General features: G+C 43.4%; 1 protein-coding gene across 10 annotated transcripts in view; it reads left to right on the top strand.

Annotated features, from left to right (window-relative positions):
• The window catches only part of INIP (INTS3 and NABP interacting protein), a 34,192-nt gene extending 25,125 nt beyond the window's left edge, over window positions 1-9,067 (top strand). For 6 of the 10 annotated variants that reach the window (NM_001329589.2, NM_001329590.2, NM_001329587.2 and 3 more), the window contains 2 exons: window positions 3,376-3,466; window positions 5,360-9,067. In NM_001329589.2, coding sequence (NP_001316518.1) covers window positions 3,376-3,466; window positions 5,360-5,455 — 187 coding nt within the window. In that variant the 3' untranslated portion in view covers window positions 5,456-9,067. The remainder of the gene's footprint in view (window positions 1-3,375; window positions 3,467-5,359) is intronic. The other 4 variants (NR_138056.2, NR_138054.2, NR_138055.2 and 1 more) reach the window with 1 other exon arrangement.
• Window positions 9,068-12,193: the final 3,126 nt, after the last annotated feature.

Genomic DNA, 12,193 nt, shown 5'->3' with positions numbered 1-12,193 from the left:
GAGTGGCACAATCATAACTCACTACATCCTGAGTCTCCTGGGCTCAGGTGATCGCCCCTGAGTATCTCACACTACAGGTGCACCCTACCATACCTGGCTAATTTTTTTGTTTTTTAGTAGAAACAAGTGAGGTCTTGTGTTGCCCAGGCTGGTCTCAAACTCCTGGCCTCAAGTGATCCTCCTGCCTCAGCCTCCCAAAGTGCTGGGATTACAAGCGTTAGCCACTGCACCTAGCCCTTATAGCCTTTTTTTTTTTTTGAGTTTTGTATGGTTTTTTATTACTGCAATTGCTGCTAGTGCCCCACTTTTTAATCATTCTGCAAAGTAGGCCAAATTTAGGTAGCTTGATGATCTTTATTATAGGTATTCAGTCTCTGCCATATTTAGTATCTTCCCTCAGATCCATTATTGCCGGGCATGGTGGCTCACGCCTGTAATCCCAGCATTTTGGGAGGCTAAGGTGGGTGGATCACTTGAGCCCAGTAGCTCGAGAGCAGCCTGGGCAACGTGGCAAGACCCATCTCTACAAAAAATACAAAAAATTAGCTAGCCATGGTGGTGCATGCCTGTAGTGCCAGCTACCTGGGAGGCTGGGTGGGAGGTTCACCTGAGCCTGGGAGGTTGGGGCTGCAATGAGCTGATTGCACCACTGCAATCCAGCCTGGATGATATAGTAAGACTGTCTAAAACAAACAAACAAAAAAGATCCATTATCCCCTTCAGCCACCACCACCCTAACTCTCTTCTGTCTTTCTCTTAAAGCAATTGGCTGTACTCATCTTTACTTTCTCACTTATTGATGCCTCAACCCGCTGCAGTCTGACTTCCAGGCCCTCCATCAAAGAAAATGTTCTTGCCTAGGTCTCTTGTAACCTTCCCGGGTTAAATCTGGCAGACCAGAGTCCTTTTCTTATCAGACATCTTAGTGTTATTTGACACCACTGATCACTTTCTTTCTTTTCTTTTTTTTCTTTTTTCTTTTTTTTTGAGACAGGGTCTCTGCTGTGCAGGCTGGAATGCAGTGGCACGATCTTGGCTCACTGCAACCTCTGCCTCCCATGTTCAAGTGATTCTCGTGCCTCAGCCTCCCAAGTAGCTGGGATTACAGGCGTACCCCACCACACCCAGCAAACTTTTGTAATTTTAGTAGAGATGGGGTTTTGCCATGTTGGCCAGGCTGGTCTCAAACTCCTGGCCTCAAGTGATCCACCCACCTTGGCCTCCCAAAGTGCTGGGATTACAGGCGTGAGCCGCTGCACCCGGCCCACTCTCTTAAAGTACTCTCTTGGCTTCCATTTGCTCACTCGGAGAATGTAAAACACAGTAGGAGGAGACTATCTTGATTTCTTTTGTGGACATTTCTCTATTTGTCCCTTGAATGCTGACAGCCCTTCGAATTCTGTTCTAGACCAGGCTTCCTAGCCTGCCTGTTTTCACTGGACAGTTGCATCTTTTCCCACATGCTGTTATTTACGTGCTAATCACTTACGCATTTGCAGCTCTAGTCTGTCCTTTCTTCTAAGCACCACCTCTGCCTCCTGGATGTCTCTACTTTGATGTCCACAGGCATTTCAAATGTAGTATGTCCCAACCTGAACTCATTCTCCCCGCTCTCCAATCAGCTACTGAATATTCTTGTGTATCCTGTCTCAGTAAATGGTTCAGGCTGCCATCTACTAGTTACAAAGTCAGAAATGTGAACTTCAGTTGTTTACCATTCCTTTCACTTTCATCTCCAAGCATTCACCATTCTCTTGTGATTATACTTTGAAAGGTGTCTCACATCTGACCATTTCCTTCATTGCTACTGATGCTATCCTGATTCCTGGCCACTCTCATTTCTTGCCTCAATTATTATAACTGCTTCAGAGTTCCTGTGGTCTTACGCTTCTTGAATACATTCATCAGTTGTGTCATTTAGCAAGCTTTAATCGGGAAGTAACAGAAATATAACAAAATTGGCATAAACATTTGGGTATCTGTTAACCAAGAGTGTGAAGATAAGGTAGTTCCAGAGTAGCTTAATTCAGTGGCCACAATATCATTAGTGATGCAGCTTCATTCATCTTTCCTTTCTGCTTTACCCCATGGGTCAGTGGCTCCCTCAGGCCAGAATATGACTGCAGTGGCTTAGGCATCACCCCGCACTGAGCCACCTGTAGAGGAAAAAGCCTGAAAGGTTCCTATGGTGTGTCCCATTTGTAAGAGTGAGGAGAACACTCTCAGAAGCCTTCCTGTAGACACCCATCAAGTCTGGTTGCCCAGATTATGTACCTTTCTCTTGCCTAAACCAGAAACCAGCTAGGGGAATGACATTGTCTTACATCAATCAAGGTCTACCCCCTGGGGCATGAGCCTGGCCTGCCTTGAAGCATGTGACTACTGATAATTGAACCAAGTTTGGGTTCCATCAGCAAGGAGGAAAGGAGACAAACAACTGTTGAGGAGGTGACCAACACTGTCTGCCACAGTAGTGCAATAGTGGTCTTTCTGAACTACAGGATGATAGTTCTTTTTTTTGAGACAGGGTCTCACTCTGTCACCCAGGCTGGAGTGCAGTGGCACCTTCTCCAGACCTCCCAAGCTTAAGCGATCCTCCCATCTCAGCCTCCCACGTAGCTGGAATCGCAGGCACATGCCACCATACCTGGTTAATCTTGTTTTTGTAGAGATGGGGTCTCACTGTATTGCCCAGGCTGGTCTTGAACTCCTGGGCTCAAATGATCCTCCTGCCTCGGACTCCCAAAGTCCTGGGATTACAGGCATGAGCCACCACGCCTGGCCAAGAGGGTTATACTTCTGATCATGTCACTCCCCTGCTGCCTAACACTCTTTGGAGGTCTCCTATTACTGTTAGGATAAGGTCTACATTTTATAACATTTTCCAGACCATTTAAAATCTCAGTAAATAACATAGACTTTCTTATATAAATTCATGAAGATAGTGAGAGAAGGAAAAAAGACTTATTCTTGGAGGTTTTTTTTTACCCCTATAAAGAATATATAATGAAAAGTTGTGATTCAGAAGTAAGGACATCTCTTTAAGAGATTTACTATATAGCATAGTGACTATAGTTAATGATACATACTTGAAAATTGCTAAGAGAATTTTTTGCTAAGAAAATTGCTAAGAGATCTTAAATGTTCCACAACCAAAAATGGTAAGTATGCGAGGTGATGGATATGTTAATTAGCTTGATTTAACCATTTCACAACAAATACAAATACTAAAACATCATATTGTACACTGGAAGTATATGCAGTTTTTGTCAAGGATACCTCAATTTAAAAAAAAGAAGATAATTTACTACCATCCAAAAAAAAGTAAGGATGTTTCTGCCTTAAGCAGCTGAGTAACCAAGATTCCCATTTTAGCATTGCACTCTCGAGACCCTCTCTTAATAAGGACTTCCGGGATCACGCTGAGCAGCAGCATATTGCAGCCCAACAGAAGGCAGCTTTGCAGGTGAGCAGTGTAACTGACATTCTTGCCTCGGTGGAGGTTTCCTGGATCTCAGAAGCCGGCACATAGTTATTTTATATTTCAGTGGAGCAATATCAATAAAAATGTTCCACACATAATTGCAATGGTTTGCTGATGTTCAGTCAAGCCCAGAGGATTTGAAGGACCAGTGCAGCAGTAATGAAAGTATCTTTTATGGTGTTGACTCGGTCATGATTGATTCTGTGCTTCTACATGCCAAGGGATTGCTTGTGCACAAGAGTCTAGGATATTTGGCTGGACAGGAATCATCTTAAAAATTGAACTGGCTAAATAGTACATGCATTTTTTTTCAAATCTATCATGTCATTACATCCTTTGATAGTTGTATTAGTTTATTATTGTTGCCTGGATTTTTTTTTTTAAATGCTCAGCACAACTGTTGTGCAGGAAATATTTCATAGCTAACTCTTACTATAGGACTAGAAATGTGGTGCTTCGTCAGTTAAAAAAAATACTCTTCAGAGTAATAAATAGTTTTAGTGTTACAGTCTCATCTTGAATAATTTAAGATTTCTAGAGACTTTGGACATTTTTTTCCCATAGGCATAATTTAATCACTTGTATTTTTAAACCTTAGAATCCCAGAATTGGAAGGAACATTATGACCATCTCACTTTATTTTATTTTATTTATCTATTTTTTAGAGACAAGGTCTCACGCTCTGTCACCCAGGCTGGAGTGCAATGGTGCCATCATAGCTTACTGTAACCTCGAACTCCTGGGTTCAAGTAATCTTCTTGCCTCAGGCTCCTAAGTAGCTGGGACTACAGGCACATGCTGCTGGGACTACAGGCACATGCCACTGTGCCTAGCTAATTTTTTAATTTTTTGTAGAGATGGGGTCTCACTGTGTTGCCCAGACTGGTCTCAAACTCCTGGCCTCAAATGATCCTCCCACCTCAGTCACCCAAAGTGTTGGGATTACAGGTGTGAGCCACCATTGCCCAGCCCTCCATTCACTTTAGATGACTTAAAAACAGTCTTTTTTTTTTTTTTTTAATGACAGAGGGAAGTTACTGGTGGTTTTCTGTTATTTACATTCCAACGTTCTCTACCAAATGTTGGTATTTTAATCACCAGTAATCTCACTGCCTTTTCCCCCCTCTCCTTCCAACTACTACCCTTCTTTCTCAAGTTCCTGGTTTGTTGACCAAGATCAGAGTACTTTGGGATCTTTGATACTTGTTTTCCTCACTGGAAGGAACAAAACAGTTCATGTCTTTGAGTCATTTATGGACTGAGGATGATCACAGGGTAGAGAGAGAGGATGATAAATGAGTACTTGGTGTAACTTGTTGACCCAGATTCTGTATTACTGTCCATTTCCTGTCTATTTAAACACAACCAGCAGCAGAAAAACTGATTTATTTATTTATTTATTTATTTATTTATTTATTTATTTGAGATGGAGTCTCGCTCTGTCGCCCAGGCTGGAGTGCAGTGGTGCGAGCTCTGCTCACTGCAAGCTCCACCTCCCAGGTTCATGCCATTCTCCTGCCTCAGCCTCCTGAGTAGCTGGGACTACAGGCACCCGCCACCACGCCTGGCTAACTTTTTTGTATTTTTAGTAGAGACGGGGTTTCACCACGTTAGCCAGGATGGTCTCGATCTCCTGACCTCGTGATTCGCCCACCTCAGCCTCCCAAAGTGCTGGGATTACCAGTGTGAGCCACCGCGCCCAGCCAAGAACTGATTTTAAAATAAATTCCATCTCAGCAATAACAATGAAAAATAAATGAATAAACAAATAAATTTGGTCTCAAGCATTCAGAAAGAGTAATTTTAATGCCTTGGTCGAAGAATTGTGACTCTATTTAATAGCTTAATTGCCTTTTTGTTTTTAATCTTTCCCAGCATGCTCATGCACATTCATCTGGATACTTCATCACTCAAGACTCTGCATTTGGGAACCTTATTCTTCCTGTTTTACCTCGCCTTGACCCAGAATGAAGAAAACATTTGCGATGGAAAAGTGACTTTGTAATATCAAATGCCAAAGCTACTATCATTCAGTGCTACATGAACTGTGACTTTAAGAATTTTGGTGAACTTTGATATTTTTTGTTTGTCTGAAAGAAAGGAATGTGTAAGTGAAAGCTGAAAGAAGAATAACCAGGATGATGAGAGCTGTGGAAGCTGTATCGTCCAAGGAATTGATTATGTACCGTGACTGTAACTTTTTTGTAATGCTGTTTAACTCTCAATCAGACTGTGAACTGGATGGTCACGAAGTCATTCCCCAACTCCTAGCAAGTTTGACTGAATATATCATGTCCACAGTAGATTTTCAAGAATCATTTATAGTACTTAACTTTAAAGAAACAAGGCTGCTTTTAAAAAATGAACTAATAGGCTTAAATCAATTGCATCCATATTTGCTGTTTATAGGATTGCTATCAGTATACCTTTTGCGTTTATAGTCAACATGTATCATCCTGAAATATTCTTTCTGGACTTATAACTACTTCCCCCTTTTTCACTTTAAAACAAACCTCAAGAATAAATTACTAACCAGTCTTAACCATCTTTTATAAACATATGCTCTTATAAATGTTGTGACTAGATGCAATTAAAAATAATAGGGAATGTGGTAGGTTTTTAATTTGTACATCCTCTTATTTAGTGTTACCACATAAATGATGAGTTTGTGTGGTTCTGTTTTCCATTTTTGTTCTAACTGAAAACTTTTTGGCTGGGCACGGTGCCTCATGCCTGTAATCCCAGCACTTTGGGAGGCCAAGGCGGGCAGATCACTTGAGATCAGGAGTTTGAGACCAGCCTGGCCAACATGGTGAAACCCTGTCTCTACTAAAAGTATAAAAAATTAGCCATGTGTGGTGGCACACGCCTGTAATCCCAGCTACTCAGGAGGCTGAGGCAGGAGAATCGCTTGAACCTGGGAGGCAGGGGTTGCAGTGAGCTGAGACGGTGTCACTGCACTCCAGCCTGGGTGACAGTGAGTCTTTGTCTCAAAGAAAAAAAGAAAAAGAAAACTTATGCAAGTCGAGCTCCTTTTTAATTAAGTAGGAAGGGATTAGGTTAAGAAAGTCTCTCAACATGACCCATCTTTAGCAGTATCTGGGGTGCTTATTTAAGTATGCAGTCCCACTACCCTACCCTAGTCCTACAGAATTAGAATCTGATTCAAAATAAAGTCTGAAAACCATGAGATAGAGAATTCTATGAAATATCTTGTACAGATTTTCGTGATATATTTATACACGCATGGGTTTGTAGATCCCTGAAACTTAGAGGTCATTTAGCTAAAATCTACATTTTTTTTAACTTTTAATAGGATTGAAATGATATTTTACACTGTATCACAGATACAGTATTTTATATAACTTTTTGTAACTGACCTTATCTTGGCCTTGAGTCCCATCCTCTCTGGTGGTAGCGTAAAACTGAAAATTCCAGTTTGGGTCAATATTTAGTGAAAGTTCTACTTTCTTTTCAGAGAGTTTGTTCCCCCCTTTCTTCCTTAGATGTTTTCAAACACACAGCCCCATCCTACTCAAACCAAGTGAAGCAAGAGTGGACAATTCTAGAATTGGCTGTGCCATGTAGGTTTTTTTTAGAATTTGAACTGATTTCCTTCATTTTGATGAGGTGGCAACTGTCCCCATTGTAATGGTCACCATTGCAGCGAGGATAGCCTTACTTCTGCGGCGCAGAGCTCCTCAGGGGGCCTCTGGCTCCTGTCCTTCCTCAGGTCCATCCAACTACTCCTTGGGCCTCCTTATGGTAGCCCTCATTGTCTTGAGTTGATTTCACTAGGTTTCTGTTCTCTGTCATCTGCAACATAACTGACATGGTTCTAAATCTGTCTCTAAGGAGATAACACATTAGTATATTTTCTACACTATTGAAGCCTCTACCTAATGTATGACTTTTGTAGCTCAGGTAAAGAGATCTTTTTACCAGTGTTATCGTTTCTAGTCTGTTTGTTAGTCTTCTTTTAAATAGATATGGCCTAAATCCTGTATTCCTGGCTAGGAAGCACTTCTCTCCACCCCTCTGCTTTGAGTTACAAATTCAATTCAATTTCCTATGTATTTATTAATACCTACAGATAAAGTACTGTGCTTTGGGGGACACAAAGGTGACTGGTACCTGCTCTTTTAGGAGGTCACCGTGCAGAGGATCCTATTCTGGTACACCAATAGTTATAAAGCAAGCCACAGCCTAGGCAACATAGTGAGACCCCTGTCTCTACTAAAAAATTAAAAAAAAAAAAAAAAGATTGGCTAGGTGTGCTGGTGCATGCATAGAGTCCCAGCCACTCGGGAGGCTGAGGTGGGAGGATTGCTTGAGCCTGGGAGGTTGAGGCTGCAGTGGGCCATGATTGCACAACTTGGCAACAGAGTGAGACCCTGTCTCTAAATCAATCAATCAAGCGAGCCAGAATGCAGTAGTGGCCTGAGAGAGGCATCCTGGAACGCAGTGCGGTCTGGCTAGGCTTAGAAGTATTCATGTGATTTTTACCTGACAAGGGAAGGAAGAGCTGCTCCACGTGCAGAGCAAGGTTTCAGAATGAGAGGAGAAGAGCAGGCACTGCAGAGGGTGAGGGAAAGGGCAGCAGTGGACTGGGAAGCCCTCAGGTGGAGGTCAGCATTGCTTCCCTCAGATCATGGGTGAATTTGAGGAACTCAGTTAATATCTTTGTATGTTCCTCCCTCCATAAGGTGAGAACAAGCACATGCTCTGCCCATGTCAGAAATTGTCTAGACTAGTGTTTTTCAAAGTGCAAAAGCCTCAACCCATTACTGAGTTGAGAAGCCAACTTAATGGTTTAACAGGATTGACCAGCATTTTTTCCGAAAAAATCAAAAACATCTGAGTGTACTGCATATAGAAATAGGTGGTTTTGCCTCATGAATATTCTGTTTCTGTGTGTTCCTATATTTTACTTTGTATTGTGTTGGTTTTTTAAGAGACAGTCCTGCTCTGTCATCCAGGCTGGAGTGCAGTGGTATAATCATAGCTCACTGCAAGACTCCTTGAATCCCTGGGCTCAAGCAATCCTCAACCCTTAGCCTCCCAAGTAGCTGAGACTACAGGCACATGCCACCATGCCCAGCTAATTTTTTTTTTTTTTTAATTTTTGTAGAGACAGCATCTTGCTATGTTGCCCAGGCTGGTCTTGAACTCTTGGCCTCAAGCAGTCCTCTCGATCCTCCCACCTTGGCCTCCTAAAGTGCTGAGATTACAGGTGTGAGCCACTGCATCTGGCTTACTTATTTTGTCTATTGTCTGTTCCACTAGTATGTAAAGTCTTAGAGAGCAAGAATTTTTGTTTATTTCTTTCTCTTCCTCCTTTCCTTTCTTCCTCTTTTACTTCGTTCACTACTGTATTCCACATAAAATATATTTGGCATATAGTAGGTGTTCAATATGTTGAAGGAATGAAAGAATTTATAGACTTGAGTTGCAATATAAAATGTATTTTTTTTTACTGTGAGTTATGGCAAAAAAAGTTTTGAAAGCCGCTTCTAAATAATGCAGATGTCAGTGCTTTGACCCTGGAATAAAAACTGAAATGACTTAGTGATTTCAAAGGCATATTTGTTTTCCTGAACAATCTATAAACTGTCTCATTAAGTTGTCTCAGTTATTTGCTTCACTTCGGCAACAGAACCTCAGCCTTTACATGTGTTTAAAGCCTCTTGAGGCAAAGGATTTGGAAAATATGGTTACATGGAGAATAGAAGATAATGAGAGAGAGTATCAATTCATTAGTGCAGTTGAACCCCTCTATTGGAATCCCATCAGCGAGCACAAGTCCCATTTCAACAGCAATAAATGCAACAAGTATTTGCTGAGTGCTTTTCTTATTCACCTCTATATCCATGGTGACTTCTACACAGTTGATACCCACGATTCTTTTTTAAAGAGATGGGGTCTCACTGTGTTGCCCAGGCTGGACACTGGGCTCAAGTGATCCTCCCACCTCAGCCTCCCAAGTAGCTGTGACTATAGGTGTGTGCCACCATGCTCAGCCACAGGCTTTTTTTTTTTTTAACAGGGTCTCACTCTTGTTGCCCAGACTGGAGTGCAATGGCAGCATCTCAGCTCACTGCAACCTCTGCCTCCCAGTTTCAAGTGATTCCCATGCTACAGCCTCCTGAGTAGCTGGAATTACAGGTGTGCGCCACCACGCCCAGCTAATTTTTTATGTTTTTAGTAGAGACGGGGTTTTGCCATGTTGGCCAGGCTGCTTCTCCAACTCCTGGCCTTAAGTGATCCACCTGCTTCGGCCTCCCAAAGTGCTGGGATTACAGGTCTGAGCCACCGCACCTGGCTGGCCACAGGCTTTTTAAAAATGTGCAAATAATGAACATGGACAATGAGGAAGAGAAGGAGGACAGTCACTGTCCTCAAGAGTCTGACAATCTAGATTGGTTGAGACAAGCACACTAAAAACCAATCCTAGGAGCAGCCTGGAGAGGAGAGAATGGGGACAGGAGCCCGAAAGGACCAATAAAAGCTACATCAGAACAAGCATTGGAACTTGGCTTTCAAGATGAGACGGTTTCAGCCAGGAAAGAGAGCAACATTCAGCCAGGCGCGGTGGCTCACGCCTGTAATCCCAGCACTTTGGGAGGCCAAGGCGGGCAGATCACGAGGTCAGGAGATCGAGACCATCCTGGCTAACACGGTGAAACCCCGTCTCTACTAAAAAATACAAAAAAAAAAAAAAAAAAAATAGCTGGGTGCGGTGGTGGGTGCCTGTAGTCCCAGCTACTCGGGAGGCTGAGGCAGGAGAATGCGGGAACCCGGGAGGCGGAGCTTGCAGTGAGCTGAGATCGAGCCACTGGACTCCAGCCTGGGAGACAGAGCCAGACTCCGTCTCAAAAAAAAAAAAAAAAAAAAAAAAAAAAAGAGCAACATTCAAAGCAAAGGAAACACCTGCACAGAGGCAGGAGGAAAGCAGGTTTGTGGGCGTTGTGGGGAGACCAAAAGCTCGATTTGGCTGGAGCACAGAGAGACATGTCTAGGCAGATAACTGGAAACGAGGCTAACCGGAGGTTAGATCCATTCCAGAGCATCTGGAATTCCAGGGTGCGCCAGACCTCTAGCTTGGTACACAGCGGGGAGACATTGAACATTTGTGGGCATAGGCAGGTACAGAGATGAACCCATCCAGCCCTCATCAGCTCTTGGGAAAGGGGAACATGTGAGGTACTAAAAGAATATTACTCTTCATGTCTGCAAATTCAGAGACAGGTGTGTTCTGTTTACATCTGCCTTTCAACTCCAGCCCCATCTGTCTTCGCTTTCTCTTGCATTTAGTTGTTGGGTCCTTCCCCAAATTTCTCTCTGTTCACCTCCCTCCCCTATCTACCTTTCTTTCCTCCAGTTTTCTTCTGTATCTCTAACTCCAAAAGCCTTTTAAGAAGGAAAAAGCGGCCGGGTGTGGTAATTCCAGCACTTTGGGAGGCTGAGGCGGGGCATCACGAGGTCAGGAGATTGAGACCATCCTGGCTAACACGGTGAAACCCCATCTCTACTAAAAATACAAAAAATCAGCCAGATGTGGTGGCACACACCTGTAGTCCCAGCTACTCGAGAGGCTGAGGCAGGAGAATCGCTTGAACCTGGGAGGCGGAGGTTGCAGTGAGCCGAGATCGCGCCAATGCACTCCAGGCTGGGCGACAGAGTGAGACCCGGTCTCAAAAAAAAAAAAAAAAAAAAAAAAAAAAAGACGGAAAAAGCAAGGCATCCTCACAAAATATTCATTTAATTTTCCCAAGAGCTCAGTGAAGTAGTGAAGTGGATATTTTAGAACTCTATTCAGCATGACTTTCCCACTTCCTAACATTACTCAGATTTGTATTGGCCACGCTCCTTCCCCAACAGCCGGTGTCCTTCAGGGGAAGCCAACAGTGCCCCAACAACAGGAATGGGCCTTACATGCTCCGAACCAGTCAGGGTCATTCCTTATTGCCACAGTGATTGCCTCAGGTAACTCGTGCCCACACCAGTCAGCATGTGGTATTTCCACACCACAGGAATTGGTTTAGGATTGGAGGCATTGCTCAAATGAGACTCCAGGAGGGGTTTGCTGCGCTTATGGAAAAGAGGCAGTCACCTTTCTGAGACATTATCAAAAGGGACTCCCTCTCTAGATATGCAAAAGGAAGCAGATTGTCCTGTGTTTTTTGCAGCCACCTTGTGACCATGAAGTGGAGCAAGTTTTAAAATGAAGCCACCACTCTAAAAGGTACAGCAGAGAAACGCAAAGAAACTGGGCCCTTGATGACATCATTGGGCTGCGGAGCCCAACAGTCCCTAGGTGCTAGCTCCCCTTCCTGTGGAATGCCCAGTGAGGGGAGGTCATAAATCCTTGTTACTGTTTAAGCTGGATTGAAGTAGGTTTTTGTCACTTGTCATAGAACTACCCTCATACGAAGTGTACTAACTTGCTAGCCTCTTAGCCACACATCTAAGCCAAACTCCAGTACACCAGTCCCTCCTCAAGCCCACACCATGCTGCCTCTGCTGCCTTCCTGACACCTTTGTTAATCACCACCCAGGTCAGTTGCCTCCCTTGCCCTTGCGTCTGTTCACTCATCTCCCCTGCACCTACCTGCTGACCTGAACCCTTCCACGACACGGCCTTTCCTGGTGATTTCCCTCTTGGTATCTCTGGAATTCCTTTGGTTCAATCACCAAAATATCTCTAGT

Source organism: Homo sapiens, chromosome 9 (genome assembly GCF_000001405.40).
Source record: "Homo sapiens chromosome 9, GRCh38.p14 Primary Assembly".
NCBI classification, from domain to species: Eukaryota; Metazoa; Chordata; class Mammalia; order Primates; family Hominidae; genus Homo; species Homo sapiens.
The sequence above is the reverse complement of the archived record's forward strand: the minus strand, read 5'-3'. Positions and strand labels throughout refer to the sequence as shown.